Source organism: Homo sapiens, chromosome 1 (genome assembly GCF_000001405.40).
Source record: "Homo sapiens chromosome 1, GRCh38.p14 Primary Assembly".
Classification (NCBI taxonomy): Eukaryota; Metazoa; Chordata; class Mammalia; order Primates; family Hominidae; genus Homo; species Homo sapiens.
The window spans coordinates 171,163,117-171,184,842 of NC_000001.11; the positions used below are offsets into that span (position 1 = coordinate 171,163,117).

The 21,726-nt window shown below is 37.8% G+C and overlaps 1 long non-coding RNA gene across 2 annotated transcripts in view; it reads right to left on the minus strand.

The window, feature by feature from the left end:
• FMO1-AS1 (FMO1 antisense RNA 1) overlaps positions 1 to 21,726 on the minus strand; it is a 131,518-nt gene that overhangs the window by 42,745 nt on the left and 67,047 nt on the right. For both annotated transcript variants that reach the window (XR_922278.4, XR_001738291.3), the window contains exon 3: positions 4,988 to 5,072. This is a non-coding gene — a long non-coding RNA (FMO1 antisense RNA 1). The remainder of the gene's footprint in view (positions 1 to 4,987; positions 5,073 to 21,726) is intronic.

Here is a 21,726-nt window from a genome sequence, read left to right on the forward strand (position 1 = left end):
AGGAGTTCGAGACCAGCCTGGCCAACATGGAGAAACCCCATCTCTACTAAAAATACAAAATTAGCCAGACGTGGTGGTGCATGCCTGTAATCCCAGCTACTCGGGAGGCTGAGACAGGAGAATCGCTTGAGGCGGAGGTTGCAGTGAGCCGAGATTGTGCCATTGCACTCCAGTCTGGGCAACAAGAGCCAAACTCCATTTCAAAAGAAAAAACAAATGTGGAGCATTAACACTACCTGACTTCTGATTTCAGAATTTCTTATTTTATGAAGCTACAGTAATCAAGTCAGTATGTTATGGTGTGAAGATAAACAATAGGTCAATAAAAAAGAATGGAATGTCTGGAAATAGAACCACACAATATGGACAAAGGTGAAAATTCAGTAAAGACAGGAGAGTCTTTTCAACAAATGATGTTGGAACCATTGGATATCATGCAATATGGAAAAAAAAAAACTTCAGTCAATACTTTGTACTATATACAAAAAGTAACTGAAAGAGGATTATAGAACTAAAACCCTAAAACTTCTAGCAGAAAATGAAAAAGAAAATCTTTGGGTTAGGCAAAAATGTCTTAGATACAATACTAAATGCACAATATTCATTTTTAAAATTGTGTAAATTGAACTTCATCAAAATTAAGAACAGTTCTAGCATATTCTCACTCACAGGTGGGAATTGAACAATGAGATCACATGGACACAGGAAGGGGAATATCACACTCTGGGGACTGTTGTGGGGTAGGGGGAGGGGGGAGGGATAGCATTGGGAGATATACCTAATGCTAAATGACGAGTTAGTGGGTGCAGCGCACCAGCATGACACATGTATACATATGTAACTAACCTGCACAATGTGCACATGTACCCTAAAACTTAAAGTATAATAAAAAAAAAGAACAGTTCTAATATTCCTTTAGGAAAGAATACAGTAAGTACATTGATACTTATGACATCCACATTATTTGTATCTAATAAAAGCAGGATGAATATTCTAACTCAATTTGTCTAATTGGAGAGATGGATAAGTCATAGTAGAAAAAGTTCAGACTTGAAAAGAAAAATGTATACCAAACTATCTCAATTTGTTTTTAGAATATGTATAATTTATCCTAGTAATCAAAATTGGTTCAAACCAGATGTGTCTCCAAAGTATTCTTGTGTACATGTGTATGTGTACACACATGCTAGTGTTGTGTTGTGTTTAGTATGATGCTAGATTGTGTAACAGAAAGAGTCTGTAAGAATTATAAGCTGATTTTCCAAATATCCTATGCACATATTTCTGAGTCCTCTGTTCAATCTGGGGACTACCAATGAAGACTAATCTGGAATCTTGGAGAGAGACACTTGGGAAGAACAAGAAAAATAATATTTTGAGTGGGGGTCTCTTTTCTGGAACATGTTTCAGGGTGTGAGAATCTCATTCCCTCCTCAGACCTAGTACTAGAGGGATGTTCTCCTCAACAAAGACTGTAGTGAAAGTTGGCTAAATGGACTGCTGAGCCCTTCAGACTTAGTTTATTTGAGCCAACTAGAAACTTTTTTGTAATTCAGACTTCTTGATATTTTATTCAATCATATGGATAATATTAATTTGCACTAAATTAAACTTGATGGAATGTTGCTTATAACCTCTGTGTATTTGGTCCTGTGTAGTAAGTAGACATAAGTGTGGTCCTTCCCATCATCTTTACCAACCATGCAAAATAAAGTGAGAACAAAGAGCCGTTAAGGAGTGACAAAAGGCGAGGGAGCATGCTAACTCAAAGCTAACTCATGCACCTCATTCTACTGATTGGGTAGCCTGCTCATCTGTGAAATCTATGTTTGTGTGTATATACAATCTGTAATTGAATCTAGTGTAAGGACTATACCAGACAAATTCATTAATAAACTAACTAAATAAAACCCTTTTACCAGTTGATTCCCAAAGACAATCAGCTTTTCAGTCAGATTAATAGCAAATCTCACAGTTAAGAAACTACTATGTTTTGCATCATCAGACACAGAAGAAACCATATTTTTAATGTTTTACTTTGCCTCTAAAATCCTAGCATAAATTAGCATATTTTTAAAAAAGGGTTAAGAGTAGTAGTTTATGCCTGGAATCCCAGCATTTTAGGAGGCCCAGGCACAAAGATTGCTTAAGCACAGGAGTTTGAGACCAGCCTAAGCAACATAGCAAAACCTTGTCCTACAAAAAAATTAAAATTAAAAAATTAGCCAGGTGCTATGACTCAGATGTGTGTCCCCTCCAAATCTCATGTTGAAATGTGATCCCCAGTGTTGGAAGTGGGGCCTTGTGGGAAGTGATTCTCTCATAAATGGCTTGGTGCCCTCCCCAGGGTAATGAGTGAGTTCTCACTCTATTAGTTCACGAGAGCTATTATAGTTGTTTAAAAGAGACTGGCACCTCCTCTCCTCTCTCTTGCTTCAATTCTCGTGCTCCCTTTCACACCATGTGACATGCCTGCTCCCCCTTCACCTTCTGCCATGATTGCAAGCATCTTGAGGCCTCACCAGAAGCAGATGTCGGCACCATGCTTCTTGTACTGTCTGCAGAATGATGAACCAAAATAAACCTCTTTTCTTTATAAATTACCCAGTCTCAGGTATTTCTTTATAGCAACACAAAATGTGTAACTGGCAAAAGGGTCCTGCTGCTTGCCACTTTTAGAAAGATGCCAACATAACAAGAGCGAGATGTGACAGAGAAAGAGTGAGTTTTATCATCTGTGTTAGCAAGGAAAAGAGTGGGCAGAATTCTTTCCCAAAATTTCCACTCTTCAATTTGTGGGAGGAACACAGGGTTTTTTTTTTAAGAGACAGGGGTTTGGAATGCAGGAGAGGAAAAGGGCAGCTACACAGATCAAAAGGCAGGCCCTTAGACATGGCACCTTGCTCTGTATATACCAGTCTCTTTAAGGATATAAACCACAATCTGGTTTATACATTATGTTGATGATTATAATACATTGATAATTAACAACTGTATATCTGGATGCAGTGTCATAATATGGCTTTTTAGTAAAAAGTACTTGAAGGTAAAATGAATAATTAGATTAAAAAATGAAGCCACAAGGAAATGATAGCTGAAATTTAAGCCACAAGGAAATGATAGCTGAAATTTCTATGCATATCTTTAAAATTTACATCTTACATTGAACTGCAGTGATCTAGGTGCCTTCAACTGCCCTGTCCTTAGATTTAATAAGGTGTAGATAGCTTCACAGATTACCTTTTCTTATAATAAAAGAAGTATAACCAGAGCCTTTATGACTACATTTGTTAATTTCTCCTCTCTGAAATAAGACAATGTAATCTTCAGGTATTTGGTTTACTAATATATCACAGATTCATCACCACCCCACCCAACTAATCATCAAATGAGTTTCGCAGCTAAGAACTGACTCATATTCTATACCTGCCTTCTTAATGTATTAAGAAAATCCTTAAGCTCCATTAGGCTTTGGCCAATATGAGACATCCAAATCCAGATACTTTTGAGACTAGACTGAAAAAATAAGTGAGTAAAGCAGATAGATTGCATATTAATCATTCTGTTGGCACATTAAACAAAGAGAAATCATCCTTTACTTCCGCAAAAATATTTGCAGGCCCAGGACAACCAGATTTTCTAAACTTTTTAGAGAAGCCTTGTATTGATATTTCCATCTGTTATTTTCTGGATTTTTAATGTTTAGCAACAACTTTTAAAAAAAGATTTGTAGGTCTTAGATGGGCTGGAGAAAACTCAGTAAGGGCAGATTTCAGCCGAAGAACCTCCACTTCTCCTTACCTTCTCTGGAAACAATATGTATTGCCATCTTCCAGCCACCATTCTCAGGGTTCAGAGGGAGTTTAAAGATCTCCTAATTTAACCCTTGGTTGATACTTGTGTTCTTTCTACAATATCCAGCCTCCTCTTTAACACCTCTTTGGACACAAAATTCATTCATTACCCTCTGGAGCAGCCTTCAGATAACTGACTGCCTCTGGCATTTACCCAGTACAGCCACCATTCATTCACAGTGGCGAACACCAGCCCTGTGAGATAGAAAGAGGTTCAAATGGGGGAGTCACAGCTACCTGCTCAAAAACTCAAAGCAAAACACTGAACTGATTCCAAACAGGAGTCTTCATAACTTATTAGAATATTTAAAAAGGAATAATTATTTGTAGGAATCTGTTATATGGATATTTTTGCATTAAAGCACAAAGATGGATGAACAAGGAAAATCATTGCAGTCTCGTTTATAATCATGAAAACCTGGAAACAATTCAAATATCTATAATAGTATAAAATAACATACAGTAAAATATAGGAGATCAACGTATATATACTGACATGGAACTCTTTTCAAAATATATTGTTTAATGAAAAAAGCAAGTAACAAAGTAAACAATATTTCTTCATTTATGTAAAGTCTAGTATCTGTGTATATAAATGTTATTTTTACACAGAAGGAAATGTCTGAAAGCCAATTGTCATCAGTAGTTTTCTCTGAAGATTAGACTGGGGCTGGAAATGGGAGGAAGGAGTAGGAACCGCACTTTTGTTTCTACATACTTTCGCATTGTTTGAGTTTTTTCATTGAAGACATTTTCATACATGACTAGTTTTATATGTAAGAAAATAATTTTTTAAATAGGTACCATTTAGTCTAGAAAGCACCTACAAGATGCCTGATTGGTGAACCTTGTGAAGACAAGAGAAAAATGAAAGATTTTGTGTATGAATTTTAGTCTCAACTGCAAAATATTTTTCTGCTTTCTCAATGACACTACTTGGTCCTGTGTGTCATGTTACCACTCCCTGTGTTCAGATGACTGTGTTTGTGCATTATATAACAATATTAATTGTGCTATTGCCAGAGAGGGCTGTGACTAATGAGGTATATACTAATTAGAATGCACTTTACCAGAATACACAGTTGTGGATAAGCCAACAAAAGGTTGAGCGCAGGTTGTGAACTTCTCCTTACCTTTCCTGAAAACAACATGAATTGTCATCTTCCAGTCACCATTCTCAAAGTTCAAAGGGAGTTCAAAGATCTCAGCCGCTTTGCCCTGTACATGAGAAAGGGAAGAATAATGGAATCGCAAAAGTCCCCAGGTAATGCATGTAATTTTTTCATAATGCATCACCCAGATCAATGCTGAGATCTGGAAAGAGAGGACCATAGGTTGTGATAATGTCCTGCCACTTCCCCATCTATCCTCAACTCTGCTGCAAGTCTGGCCATAGCACGCCCTGCTCAAAATCCTTCAAAGGCTTCTCATCACCTTTTGGATAATGCCCAAGCTCAAGAGCAAATGAGGCCCTCTACCATCTGGCTCTACTCTTTCTCATTTTTACCTCTTCCTTGCTCCCTCTTAATACTCTGGTAGTATTGGACTGGTGATATTTCCTAAACTCATACCATAATGATCCTCACCTCTTTGCTCCAATTCCTGCTGTTCCCCTGGTCACAGATACCTTCCATCACCCCACACACATCTCTACCACCATAGCCTTGGGCAACTCCTGCTCTTTGTTATTTATCTTTATTCTTTCTGCACAGTGGCTTTTCCTGGGGACCATTGTCTTCATTCCTCTTTGCCCATACCTATCCTTACATATACATGTTGAAATGATTACTACAGTCAAGGCAATTAATATATCCATCATCTCACCCTTCCCTAATTGGTGTGTGTGTGTATGGTAAGAGCACCAAAAATCTACTCTCTTAGCAAATTTCTAGTATACAATACAATGATATCCGCAAGAGGCAGGCAAATGCCTAGGCAGACAGGGGCAGGTCCCTGGTGAAACCCCACCTTCAAGCCAAAGACAGTTTAAAGCCTGAAAGCCAAGCTACAAGTCAAATCCACAGACTGGATTGAGAACCTCTCTTCCCATTTGGTGCACTTTCCTCTGAATGATCCCTACCCTTCACCTATTTTATATATACCTACCCTTCCCTAATTGGTTTTTTACACTGCCATGCCCACTGAGTTGTGCCTTTGTTTTAACCTTTTCTGCGTACTCACAAACCAATCACCACTCCCCCATTCTGAGCCCATAAAAGCCCCGGACCCAGCCACACTGAAGGGGAGACCACCCAACTTCATGTGGTGGATCACCCTCATGGCCCCTCTTTGCTGAGAGCTGTTCTGTCACTTAATAAAGCTCTTCTCTGCCCTTCTCACCCTTCAATTGTCAGTGTAACCTCACTTCTCTTGGATTCAGGACAAGAACACAAGAATTGCTGAACATAGGTATGAGCTGTAACACAGGTGGGCTGGGGCACTCCTGGGCCAGTCATGGGGTGAGCTAGTGTGCAAATGGGCAGAGTACCTCCTGCAGCAGGCCTGGGGCTGAGCAAGGCCCAGTTTGGGGCATCGCCAGCCAGACACTTCCAGCTGGCAAAAGTGACAGAATAATCCTGTATCAGCAACACTATTAACTATAGTCCACATGCTGCATATCAGACCTCTAGATTTATTCATCTGACAAAACTGCAACTTTGTTTCTTTTTATCTACATCTCCTGATCTCCCCCTACCTCTGGTAACCACCTTTCTACTCTGTTTATGTGTATTCAGCATTTTTAAGATGCTGCATATAAGAAAGATGTGGAATACTTTTTTTTTCCTGTGGCTTATTTCACTTAGCGTAATGTCCTCTAGGATCATCATGTTGCAAATGGCAGGATCTCCTTCCTTTCTAAGGCTGAATAATATTCGTGTGTGTGTGTGTGTGTGTGTGTGTGTGTGTGTGTGTGTGTGTGTGTGTAGAAACCAGCCCTTTCAAAAGATTCCATGCCTGATTTCAACCAACTGCCTGACTGATAAGAGATCACTGATGACCACGGAGTGGTTCTGGCCAGTCTGCAGAGAATGCACAGTGAGGATTTTGTGTCCTCTGCTTCACCTTTTGACATCAGAGGGCCAAAAACACCACCCTTGGGTCATGCTAATCCTGCCATTTTTTGAACATGGGTCCCGTGAAGGAAGATGAAGCTCAGATGTGCACATAAATGTTTCTCATTTCATAAATACTCATGATTCCTCCTATAGCATATTGAATTTGCATATTTAGCCACCCTGCTCAACATAAATTCATGTTCCCTTTGCCCCACCTCCACACCCCTCCCCCCCAAAAGTGCCTGCTTCCAGCTTCTGGCCAGAGGCCATGCTTCCCAGCTCATCAGAAGGGCCACCCTTCAGGCTATAATCATTTATGAGAAATAAAGCTCTCCTTCACAAATTTATGAACCTTGTCATTCTTCAACTGACACTAGTATATCATGATCCACCAAGCTTAAAATCTTACAAATAACCTTTATTGTCTCTGTCTCCTTAGCTATTTGTAGTTATTAGGTCACCAAGATCTGAAAATAGACACATCTATGGGAATAGAAGAGGCAAGGTCAAACCACAAGATATCTATAGTCTTCCTGAATTCATCCCTATGTGAGCATGTACGCACACGCACTCGTGGACATGCACATGAACGTACACACACACTCAGATTTGAACATGAAATACATTGGGCTTAAAGTAAATAAGTTACTCCTGTTGACAACCTGTTCTTGTTCCCACTTTAAAGTAAGACTCGGCTATTCCCTAAAAGTACATCCAATTCTATGAAATTTTAGCAAATCATTCCAATTTTTCTATAGGAAGACAAAAGAATACACCTGACAACAAAAACATTAATAAAAAATCCTCATTAGATCTCTGTTTCCTCTCAAGGTTCTTCTCAGATGACTTGTCACCCCCACCCTTTTATCAACCCTTCCTCCCCAGAGCTTCTCCATCCTTGATTCCAAACTAACTGCCTATTCAGAGCAAAGTCAAAGAATTATTTTATGGCCTATTTCAGGGAAGAAAGACAGCAAGAAAGTCAAGGAGTACTTTCTGCTTGTGCTGTTTTCTCAAATGCCAAGCTGTCATATTTTGAAACAATGTATCCTCAATCCCATCACCACCAAGCTTCCACTGTTTTCTCATTAGAACAATTCAGTTATCTCTGGCTTTTCCAACTCAGTACCCTAACATCTGTTATCTCAGTTAACAAAGGATTATCCTTTGAAAATATCTGGGAATAGTCCACACAACTACTTTTCCTCATGTGTCATAATTGTTTGTCCTGTGACAGGTACATCCAGTACAGGCTTGAAAGGTAAAAGAAGCCATAAAGAAGCATCTGCAATCAGAAAGAGGTTGTAGAAAAGAAGAAAAAGTCAGTTATTTTGCTTTCTCTACAGTTAGAGCCAAGAAAACTATATTTAGAAAACTGGATTTTATTCTAAAATTTGGAGATTTTTCCCACATCTCTTCTCTGGATAGATTATAATTCTATACCCCTATCTCAAAACTTTTAACATATGCAGAATAACAGGTATTTGCATTCCTCTTAAATATCTGGTTGTGACAAAGCTTGTTGTTGATCAGACTCCGTTTCGCTCATACATATTATAATGGTTTTGTTTTATAAATGTGTTACACACAACAAAAATGTGATTGCTTCAAAATATTTATAAAATATTGAGGAAATTCAGGATGTACCACCCCAGTATAACTGTAGGAGACCAGACTATGCCACCTTAAGAATGCCTCTTTGGCACAAAAATTATTTAAAGTTGATTATTTTGAGAAACAGCAGACACAAGAGAAGCTTTGAAAACAGAAGTTATTCTTTTGTAAGGAAAATTTATATCTATAAAGGAAATCTTCATTTGTAAGGGTATCTCCCTCTCTGTACCAGGAAGAGAAGGATTACTTAATCATTAGAAATTCTTATCAGTGGAAAAGTCATCAGCAAAAATCTGCATAATAAACCTTGTTCTTGTTTAACAGGCCTTTCTTGGCATAATTTTTTTCTTGTCATAACTGAGTCTCTCTCACATACTTCTTTGTATCAGGGAACCATGGTATTTAAGCTCGAAGTCAAAGCCACCTGTTTCAGATCTACTCCAGAGAACTCATTTTTCCCTGAAAATGTATAGATAAGATATACATGTAATTAAACTTCTGTTTTTCTCTTATTAATCTTTTATTACAAAGGTCTGTCCCAACTAAGAACTCATGCAGGGTAGAGAGAAAATCGTGTTTCTTCACCTACAGCTCATTAAATGACTCAAAACAATGTTTAAATAGGAAACCAATGGGGTGTTTAAGCAGGGAAGTAGCAAAAATTGATTTAACAGTATAGGAAAATACTTTTACCTTCAAGGCAGAGAATTTATTATAAATGGGAAAGACTACAAACAAGAACACCAGTTGAAAAGCCACTGCAACAATCTAGGCCTGATTTCAATAATTCAGAACTTATGACAATTTTGACAAGAACATGGCTGAAGTGTCCCTTTATTTTATCTATAAAAGGGATATTTCATGAACACTTAGCACTATAAACAAAATTGTAAGAGAAAGCTTAAACTATTATACAACACAAAATATTTTAAATACCGTGGAAGCAATCACATTCCCACAATTAATGTACTAGTTATAAACTATTACGTACTTTTGAAAGTATGTTCTTGAAAGACTTTCACTGGGCAAGAACTTGTTCAGTAGTTCAAGTATGTGCAATACCTGGCACACAATATGTACTCAATAAATATTTACTAAATAAATCCATACACTCATCATTTCTTTAAAAATAGCACCCCATTCAGATATCACACCAATTTACTGGCTTTACCACCTCCACCTACCACCCTGCCTCCAGTTACTATGGAAAAAAAGTCTTCTATCCATAACATATTCTCATAGAATATGAGCTACAATCCTAGTATATAAATATTTTAAAATAGACCGGAAATTATCTTTGACTTATAAAATTAAACAACATAATTTTAAATCACACAAAATATAGTAGGATTAAAGTTATGAATGTATCTGCAGAGAAGCCAGCAAAAATTCAAGTTGTTTGTTTTCCTAAACATTAGTCATATTGGAAATGTGTTGTGTTAAAAGACAAAATTACAACAAATCTAGTTTTGCAGGCGTTAATTGGCCTTTATTTGTGACTTTAGAATTGAGCAGCAGTTCAGTCCAAAAATGGCTCAGAATGTTCCACCCCACCAAATGTGTAGGTTATATTTGTAACTAGAGAAAAGGAAGTGACATACAGAAAACTGCACTGAGGTACAGAGATAGCCCAATTGGTTATAGTTCACATCTGTCTTATTTGAACATGGTTTGAAGAATTGGCCATCTGTGATTGGCTGAGATTCTGTTCCTAAGTTAGGTTTTCAGTTTGTTTAAGTGCTGAGTTGGGCTGCATTTAGGAACTCACACATAGGCCTCCTTGGGCCCACTTTTAATTTGTTTTAATAGTTGTTCATGTGATTTAAAGGATTTGATTAAACACAGTAAAGAACTTCCTGGTAGTGAGGACAGCTAAAAGAATGAGTGATAAAGAGAAATTTAGCATCTCCCTCTCTAGGAAGCTGTATAAACACACTAACTCCTTATAAGTCTCAGTAAATTTCTATGTAAAATTCATAATGTCATGGGTATAGTTTGAGCTAAAATTTACTTCTGCTAACTATAACTTCTGTTTTTAAGTTTGCAGAGTAAATAAATTAAGTGAACAATATTTTGATGGGGGAACTTAGACTACTGAAGAAAACAAAATGCAATCTGGTACTATTTTAACATAAAATCCGTACAATTAAGAAATATAACAATTATAAATAATTACTTCTTTGCAAAGAAAGTGCTCCCGAAGGTCCTCACCACACCTGAAAGTAATCATACTGCATTTATTTTTAAATAAATCATTATTCAAAGCTTTCACTAATTTTCACTGACATCCTAAAAGGTAAATACTAGTCAGTCTCTTTACATTTTGTTTGTTTGTTTGAGATAGACTCTTGCTCGGTTGCCCAGGCTGGAGTGTAGTGGTGCAATCTCAGCTCACTGCAACCTCCACCTCCCAGGTTCAAGCGATTCTCCTGCCTCAGCCTCCCAAGTAGCTAGGACTACAGGCGCACATCACCACACCGGGCAAAATTTTATATTTTTAGTAGAGACAGTGTTTCACCATGTGGGCCAGGCTGGTCTTGAACTCCTGGCCTCAAGTGATCCTCCTGCCTCAGCCTCCCAAAATGCTGGGATTATAGGCATGAGCCACCACACCTGAATAATTCTTGTATTTTTAGTAGAAACGGGGTTTCGCCATGTTGGCCATACTGGAGTCTCTTTACAGTAAATTCAAAAAGTATCATAAAATAAAACTAGTTTACATTAGAAACAGTAAAAAAGCATGTAAGCAAGTCAGAGTACTGGCTACTAGAAAGTAATTTCAAATACTAGCTATTTAAAGGACCAGGCACCATTGAAAAGGATTGATGCAATATAAAGAGACAGGTGAGATTTAAAAGGAGAGACTACATTTTAAAAGTTGGTCTTTGAAATGCATAGCTCTGAGTGAGAAAAGAAAAGGCAAAAAGAAGGAAGACAAGCCCTGTGGCAATTTGGCAGTGAAGGGAGAAAGAAGAAAAAAAGGAAGAAAAAAATTAGGGTCCTATAAGACAAAAAAAGAACCATAAAATTGGAGGATTCAAAACCCTTCCCCAATCATCATCATTAAAACAAACAAACAAAAGGAAAACTGTTAAATATCTGAACTTTTCTACTTTTTCAGAAGAGGGCACCACTAAATAAGGAATCTGGTAAAATATCCTAATTTCATAAAAACAAATAAGATAAAGATAAGCTATGTCCAGAGAGATAGGAGAGAGAGATGAAAACAAGAAAAGAAGGAAGGAAGGAAGGAAGGAAGGAAGGAAGGAAGGAAGGAAGGAAGGAAGGAAGGAAGGAAGGAGGGAAGGAGGGAGGGAGGGAGGGAGGGAGGGAGGGAAGGATGGAGGGAGGGAGGGAGGGGGAGGAGAGGGGAGGGGAGATGGGGAGGAGAGGGGAGGGGAGATAGGGAGGAAGGAATCAAAAGGTTTTCTAGAGATCCACTGGGAGAATTCTGTTTATACCTCACTGGTCAGAGTGGAGATTGCATGGTGACTTCTAAGTACAAGGGCATCTGAAATAACGATAAATAATTTTTCCCAGCCTATAGTGGAAGGTAAAAAGAGAAAAATGAACTTGGAAACTTTTGGGTAACCAATAAACAGTATGTGTCATACCTCTTCTGTAACTGAAATATATTACTTCCATGCTCACACTTTATTAGTAATTCAGCTAAATGTAAAAGTATAAGCTGAAAATGATACTACCTTAGACTTTTAAAGTCATTGCCCCATTGCCTTCGAGCTTCAATATTGTTAAAAGCCCATTGTTCATTCTACTTCCTGTCCTTTATATGCGACTTGTATTTCCTTTTCTGAAAGGTTGTGGAATCTCTATCTCTGGGGTTCTGAAATTTCTTGGTGAATTGCCCTGGTTTTGAGTCCTTTTTATATTATCAGGTCTGGAACTTTACCAGTTCAATTTCCACAAAGATCAAACCTCCAGTCTCCATCCAGGATGAAGGAAGGTCAGTCTCATAGTTGTTTGCAGAATGAGGATGAGAAATATCCATTTCATAAAAAGACTTTCAACGAATTCCTCTGTCATGTCCCATTACCAACATCTTTGCAGTTCCTGATGCCTCCAATCACTCACTAAGCTATCTTAAAATCATCTGGCATGCATTCACTTTTTTCATGTTAGCATCCCATTCGCAAGCCCTTGGTGTTAGCATTCTCTTTTCTGATAATTCATCAACTCACTTCTCATCTTCAAATAGTGTGTTGACATTTCTTCTCACTGTAATCTCAATCTCTTACTTCATTTATCCTCTAAGTTTATGCCTTTTAAAATACTCTTTCGTGGGATTTCAAGTGGAAGCAGAGGAAAATGTGTCTTCAGTCCACCATATTTAATCTGAAGTTCTCTCAATTTCAGCTGTAGTGTAAAGAATGAATTGGTAGGGGGAGAGCTAGAAGTGGTTGGAGTGGGAAGGTGGTGGTGGGTCAAGACTGAGAGGGAGGAGACAATCAAGACTTCTAGTAAGAAGTGGTGAGTATCTGAACCATGATAGTAGCAGGAAAAATAGAGATAAGAGGACAAATTTGAGACAAACTAAATTGATAGAAGAAACTGGAGTTGATAAGTGTCGTAAAGAAGTCCAAGAGGTACAGCACATAAGAGGAATTTCTGTAGGTTACATTTCAATAGTAGCAACAGTGAGCTTTAACTCCTGGCTGGGGTAATCAGAAAAAATGGGTGAAATTTGATAGATGGAGATGGAGGCAGGGCATTCTAAGTTAGATGATTAATCATGAGCATTTATTTGTAACAAGTGTTTTGTGAAGACTAGAACTTAGAATGTTCTGAAATTGAAAAACTTTTATTTTGACAAGCACAATTAGTGTGTGTCTTCCTGAGTGGGGAACTGTGATTTGCCTTTTGGGCATATCTTCCCTTTGTTCCTTCCTCTATCATTTCATTAATGACCATGTAAGACAAGTGCTCAGACATTTTACTTAGGCAAGCCTGAAATCAGAGAATCAACCCAAATGTCGATGCTTTATTGATCATGGGCTAACAATAAGTGTTGTGTTTGTGCTATTGTTTTAAGTTATATGTTCTCATGATTCAAAAAAAAATTTAAGTGAAAAAAATCTTACGTTCACTCCCAGCCTCTATCTGCCTAAACACTGCCTTCTTCTTTTCAGTTCCCACCCCCTGATCCTCTCAAGTGTCCACTCTTACTAATTTCTTGAATATTTTTCAGATTTATGCAGATATGAGAAAAATAAATTGTATTTTCCTTTTTACACAAAGCATAGCATTGTGTATATGCTGTTCTGTATCTTACTTATTTAATAATATACCTTGACAACTAATATATAGAGAGCTGTGTCATTCTTTTCAAAGCTACATGTTATTCAATCATAGAGATGTACCATAAGATATGGAACCAATATTCTATTGATGGACATTTTGTTAGTTTTTGGAGCGTTGATGGAAAATTCCCCTCTGCTCTCTGAAGATTTGCTAAAAATCTACTGACAAAAGGCATATTGATAGAAGAAAATGTACACAAATTTATTAACTTCCACAGGAGTTGGGGTAAAAATCACATGATTATCCCAGCATGCAATGGGGTACGGATGCTTATATATCCCTTCCTTAGGTGACAGGGAGATGAGAAAGTGTGGATTGATTTTAGGGTGACTATGAAATGATCTCTAGGGGACCCAACGGGCTTGAAGAACATACAATGGCCTGGAATAAAGTATGTTGGGCCCGCAGCGCAAACAATGGCTTATGACAAGTCTGTCTAGGTGTGTTGACAGAATTCTTTCTTCCTGCAGTATGAGTTCAGTTAATGAAAACTCAGGGAAGGTACCAAAGGTAATTGATTTCTTCTTTGGCAAGTCTAGACTTTAGGCAAATAAGGGAACTGCAGAGAACAACTTCACCCTGTTTTTTGGGAGAGCTTTGGGGGATACAGAGGATTGAGATACAGGAAGAAAGGGAAGGTCAGAGAGATCCTGAGTCGTCTTCTTCAGTTCAGCATGTTAAAGTGCCATATTTTGGGGTATTGGTTTCTAAGTCCCAAAATTTTCAATCTTATTTGGCTTCAGTGAATAACCTTACACATGAACCAGTTCACACACATTCAACTGTATTTGTAAAAAGCAAATATTTTAAGGAATAAAAATTGAGTGTTTTAGCAAAACTATAATCATGAAGACCCAGTAAAATGTTTAGCCTTGTTTTTCTATTTTCTCATAAATCTGGAGCTAGACCAATGTATGCTTAACACCAGTTTTTGAGTAACTTCTGTGAGTTTGTGTTTACTTATAATTTAACTTCCAGGATACTAAAGTAGAATTGAGAGCACAGCTAAAGAAATATGCAGGAAGTCCTCTGAGAGAAGAATGGGGTAGAATGATATTGGCCTTGGCAGCACAATATGCCCCAACTGTTGGAGTCACCCACATGGTGTTGAGGCTTTCTAACTCCAACTTTGGGATATCTCTACTGTCATTCTAACAGTCTACCAGTTTTTTGTTTTGCTTCACTTTGTTTTGTAGAGATGGGGTCTCACTATGTTGCCCAGGGTGGTCTCAAACTCCTGAACTCAAGCAATTCTCCTGCCTAAGCCTCCCAAACTGCTGGAATTACAGGCATGAGCCACTGTGCCTGGTGTACTGTTATTCTATTATATTCTCATCCTATTAACCTATTATTATGTTCTGCCCTGACCATACAGACCAAAGATATTCTTTATGAGAATGGATTTTCCCTGAAGAATATTAAATTCTCATTATCAGCTGAATGGAGAATGGGATAATCCTCAGGCAGTACATGAGGTGGACATTGGTGAACTTGGTCTCTGCGTTTTGCAGGCAATTTGGCCTTCGCTTCAAGGTTAGTGCCTCCTAGAAGCTAAGCAAAAAGTTGGTGAGAGACTCTAAGGTCTAATTTAAGTATATGGGCTATAAGAGAAGCCAATTCTAGGCTGGGCACCATGGCTCATGCCTGTAATCCCAGCACTTTGGAAGACCGAGGCAGGTGGATCACCTGAGGTCAGGAGTTTGAGACCAGCCTGGCCTACATGGTGAAACCCGCCTCTACTAAAAATACAAAAATTAGCTGGGAGTGGTGGCATGTGCCTGTAATTCCAGCTACTCAGGAGGCTGAGGCAGGAGAATTATTTGAACCTGGGAGGCCAAGGTTGCAGTAAGCTGAGTTCATGCCTTTGCACTCCAGCCTGGGCAACAGAGCAAGACTCCGACTCAAAAAAAAAAAAAAAAAAAAAAAAGAAGCAACTCTGCCCAGGCACAGTGACTCACGCCTGTAATCCCAACACTGACGCAGAGGGTTGCTTGAGACCAGGAGTTCAAGACCAGCCTGGGCAACATGGGGAGACCTTGTATCTACAAATAATTTTTTTTTAATTAGCCAGGCAGGGTGGCATGTGCCTGTGGTCCTAGCTACTGAGGAAGCTGAGGTTGGAGGATCACTTGAGCCTAGGAAGTCAAGGCTGCAATAAGTTGTGATGGCTCCACTGCACTCCAGCCTAGGTGACAGAGTGAGTCTTGTCTCCAAAAAAAAAAAAAAAAAAAAAAAGAGAGAGAGACAGAAGCCATTCTACCAATTATTGTATCAACTGTTAAGTTACTCTCTGATTGTACTGCTATCTCCAAGTTTTTCTTAATTCATAGCATTTACTAGTAATCAAGGAAATGCAACTTAAAACCACAATAAAATATATTTTCACATCTTAAAATCAGCAAATAAATTATAAAAGTCTGACGATATCATGTATCAGATAGAATGAGGAACAAAAAGAATCCTTCACTGTTGCAGGGAGCATAAATTGGTACTAACATTTTAAAGAACAATTTATCACCATCTAGTAATGTTGAAAATATGCATATTCAACAACCTAGCCATTCCACAGCTGGGCATGTACTCTGGAGAAACTCTTGAATGGGTGTACAAGTAAACAAGCACGAGAATGTTTTTGTATTGTTTGTATTAGAAAAAATGGAGAGAATATAAATATCAATGGGAAAGAGCTAAATGAATTCTAATATATCTATATGAGTTTTTCACATAATAAGAATAAAATAAAGTTGCTTAAATTAGAAAATAGATCTCACAAAAACAATGAGCAAAAAAGCAAGCTGAACAATGCATATGCCTCAATAAATTGTTGTAATAATATAATGTCTTGATTCATACATAGGACTTTGAATTTTCCTCTGTTAATTAGAACTAATTCTGGAGGCAAATACTCCTGCTCCCAATCCCCATGCTGGGAGGTGATGGGTGGAAGCATGAAGGAAGAAAAATAATCCCGGCTGTTACATAAGCTCTCATTTATTTAATTACTTGGATTAACATCCCACAACCTACTCCTCTTCCAACGGTGATTAAGAGCATGTAGTGCATAGATGGCCTAGATTTAAAACCCTCCTTCTTGTGTTTTCAGCATTTTACTTAATTATTCTGGGTATCAACTTTCTCACTCAAAAAATGCAGCTAACAAGATTTACTTTTCACAAGATTGTGATAACAAGCAACTTAATCTACGTAAAACTTAGTGCCTGGTAAATAATAAGTACTACATAAATGGTAGGGGTTATGGAGCCTCTCACAGTTTCTACTGATAAGAAAACCTCCCATCTCTGCTCCAGGCTTCTCTCATCCATTCTGGGGCACGGTTTCTCCTCTGGTTTGTCAAGATGCTCCCATGCAAATTCCATGTTTCAGAAACATCGTTGATATCTAGTCCACGGGTTGGTAAAGACTTCTTAGATATGATACCAAAAGCACAAACAAAATAAAAACAATAAAATGTACTTTATCAAAATTAAAACTTTTGTACTTCAGAGGAAACCATCAAGAAAGTTAAAAGACAATGCCTCGAAAAACAGAAAATATTTGCAAATCATTTATCTGATAAGAGAATTGTATCTAGAATATATAAAGAATTCTCACAGCTCAATAGGAAGACGAAATGGGCAAAGGATCTAAATACACATTTCTCCAAAGAAGATATACAAATGGCCAACAGGTATATTAAAAGATGGTCAGTATCATTAGCCAGATGGTAAATAATAGGAAAATGTAAACAAAACCACAATGAGATACCACCTCACATCCACTAGAAGGGGTATAACCGAAAAGAAGAGTTGGAGAGGATATGAAGAAATTGGATCCCTCCTACATTGCTGGTGAGAATAAAAAATGTTAAATGTGCTTTATAAACAGTTTGGCAGTTACTCAAAATGCCAAAGATAGAATTACCATATGACCCAGCAATCCCGCTAAACATATACCCAAGATAAATGAAAACATATGTCCATACAAAAACTTGCATATGAATTTAGATAGAATTTAGATAGAAGCATTATTCATGACAGCCAGAAAGTAGAAACAACCCAAATGTCTATCAACTGATGACTAGATGAATAAAATATGATATTCATACAATAAAATACTATTGAACAATAAAAACAGAAGGAACCACTGATACATACTGTACTATGTGTGAACCTTGGAAATGTTACACTAAGTGAGATAATCCAGTCTTTAAAAAATTGTATGATTTCATTTATATACAATTTCAGAATAGGCAAATCTATAGAAATGGAAAATAAATTGGTAGTTGCCAAGGGCTGGGAGTGAGGGGAGCTTGAAGCAAAATAGAAAGAGACTGCTGACAGATACAGGAGATTTTTCGGGGGAGGGGGTCGTGATGAAAATGTTCTAATGTTGATTGTGGTGATAATTGTACAACCTGTGAATATACTCCAAACCATTGAATTTTACATTTCAAATTGATGTAGTTTATAGTATATGAATTACATTACAAAACTGCTTTTTAAAAATCTGATGCACAGAACACTTCCCTTTCTCAGGGCTGTCATGGATTTAGTTCTTTTGTATAACTTTCTTACCACTTTAATGAGATTTTTGAAAGGGTTAGCAAATGTGCTTGCTCAGTCCACTCTTGATTCAGAAGCTTTGGAGGGATTATTTTTAAAAAGAACTGCCCCCAAAAATATAGAGGACACACAGAAGTTATGGAACTATATATGTCACACAGGAAATGCAGATGGGTTCATACAAAAAAAAAATTGAGTCATAGGCGAGGGAAGAGAAAACCAGTTTGGTTGTTATTTCTCTAAGGTATAAGGCAACTTAATGAGAGAACTTGTTGGTTTGTTATTTCTCTAAGGTGTAAGGCAACTTAATGAGAGAACTTGTTGGTTTGTTATTTCTCTAAGGTGTAAGGCAACTTAATGAGAGAACTTGTCCTCACAACTCTGTGCTTCTCAAAAAGTACCATGTGGTTTTAAGGAGTTTTCTGTTGAAATATGTAACAGAAAGTTAAAAATGAAGGAGGAGATACCAGGGCTGATATGTATATTGTTCTTATGATAATATACACAATTAAGGGAGCTTGGACTCATCCAAGAATGGTTCAGAGGGGGTGACTATGGGGCCCCTAACCATGTAGAGGGGTGAAGGGGGCCAACACCCTCTTATTCTCCTATAGTAACCGGAGTATTTTCAAATCCAAATACTTCTCAGCATTTTTATGCCTATCTTAAAACTTTAATTGATGATAAGATTTCACATCTCAGACCCTAGACTCTTGCAGTTAGTGACATTACTCCTCTTTCACATGCTGCCTGAATTCCTCTCTTATCCACTAACAAGTGGTCATCTAACCTTTGTTTGATATTTACAGTGATAGGGAGTTCACTACTATACAAAACAACTCACTCTATATTTGTACAGCACGGTTGGCTAGAAAGTTCTTTCTCACATTGAGACAAACTCAGTTTTTTTGTATCATTAACATATGTAATCCTAGAGAGACTTGTTTCTACCCAAAATAGGCTTGTATGACCTTTTCCGTATAGGAACCTTCTTGAAGGCAATTGTCATGGATTTTTCAATATCTCCTCTAGGCTAAGCATCAGAAGTTTCTTCAGTGGCCCCTTATGTGACATGGCTTTAAGAAGTTCATTGCCATCTTGGTTATTCTTAAATTCTCTGGTAGCTAAGGCAAGCTTATTTCCACATGCGTGAAAGATGGATGGGTGGTAAGGCCTATGGTCCTGAACTAGTAAATGAATTAACATATGTGATAGTATTTTTACAACTTAAAACACTTTGTAAACACAAGATACTATTAAAACATATCTCCTTCATAGAAGGCAACTTGGCAAAGCATATTAGAAACTTGCAACTCAAAATATGGTCTAATGGTACACCTGGCATCACCTGGAAGCTTGCAAGAAACAATTTCAGGCCCACCTCATATCCATTAAATCCCACCTGCATTTTGACAAGATCTCCAAGTGTTTCATTTGCACATTAAAGTCTGAGGAGCTCTGTAAACTTAAAAATATGCAAACACTTTCACTAAGCAATCCTTGTTTTTAGGTATTTATCCTGAGAAAATGATTAGGTTAAGTACACAGCATTTTTATAACAGCAAAATCTTACAAAGAAAGTTCCACTAATAGAAAATTGGCCAAGGTGCTTTACGGTTCTTCTATGGATACACCATTTGCCAGCCAAGGCTAACTCTATAAAGCAAGCTGGTTCTTCTCAGCTGGTGCTGGTACCTAGAAGATGCCTGCTCCTCAGCTGATGCATGCCACCATGAACACAGATGTATGTTTAGTTGACACAAAAGGCCATTAATATCCCCACATCAGTTATCCCTGGAGGATAACTAAGCCATCTGCCTCCATCATCTTTTAAGGGTTCAGTCAGTTTAAAACTTTGCTTCTATACCTAGGTATTTTCTTTTCTCTGTATGTTGGTCAGGTACAATTATTTTTAACAGGGCTTCCATCAATATCATAACTACCTAGAGAAGACATTGCAAAGATAAAATTGGAGAATTGTTAACAGGCTGTTAACAAAATGTGTACCCAACTGCCAATGAAGTGGCTTGATTTTTTTCTTTTTTTAAAATTTTTCTTTTGTATCCTTTTATTTTATTTACTTATTTTTTAGAGACACGGTCTCGCTCTGTTACCCAGGCTGGCGTACAATGGCACAATCATAGCCCACTGCAGTCTCGACCTCCAGGGCCTCAAGCAATCCTCCCACCTCAGCCTTCCAAGTAGCTGAGACTACAAGTGCATGCTGCCATGCCTGACTGATTTTTTGTTTTTTGCAGAGATGAAGTCTCACTATGTTGCCCAGTCTGACCTTGAACTCCTAGCAATACCCTACCCTGGCCTCCCAAACTGCTGGGATTACAGGCATGAGCCACTGTGCCTGGCCTTTTTTCATTTTAACTGAGAAATGTGTTCAGCTCTTTTGTTCCTTAGTCATTGATCATCACTTTTGTTATATCTGTTAGTCTTGTCATAGAGTTGCTGCACTTATTACACAGAGAAGGCCTTTTATCACGACCAATTTATTTTAGGAAATTTCAGGGAAAACGTTTTTCTAGAACACCTTATTTGACATTATAAAACAACTCTTCACTCTTGCACTCCAGACCTCCCTTTCCAGTTTTCTTTTTCTCCATAGTGGTCATCACCACTTGTTTTATTTTATTGATGGGCTGTCTGGCTCCCTCAACTACAAAGTAAACTCCACAAAGGCAGAGAGTTTTGCCTCTTTTATTCATTGCTGTACCTGCATCACTTAGAAAGTTTCTGGCACCTAGGAAGTGTTCAGTAAATATTTATTGAATAAGTTTATGTAAAACGTCTCAGACTCCTTAGAGAAACTGGTCTTTTGGGGTTGGAGAATAAAGTTCTTTACCTCATCAGTTAGACTCTATCTAAGGTACACGAGGGCTTGCTAGTCTCCTAAGTTAGTCTGCTAATAAATGTTAACCCTAATAACTGAAATTATTAGCAGAGGTAATTATCCAGTTCTATATCAAGGCAAAAAGACAGCAGTGGATAGAAAGATCTTAGAAGTCCCACTAGGTTCATCCAAGCCACCATACACATAGGCAGAAAAATCAAAATAAGATATGAGCCTGGACAGGGTGAGCAATCTGGGAAAAGATGAACACAGTATGCTAGGACCCAGAAATCATCAAGTCTATGAAAACTAAGCCAGAACACAAATGTGAATTCCATAAGATCAGGAACATAATCTGTCTTGTTCATCCAGGCATGGTAATCTGCCAGAAATAGTGCTTAACTGCAAGAACTGAATATTTGTTAGATAATTAAACCATCAACTAAATGAGATTCATGCAACCATGAAAAATGCTGCTA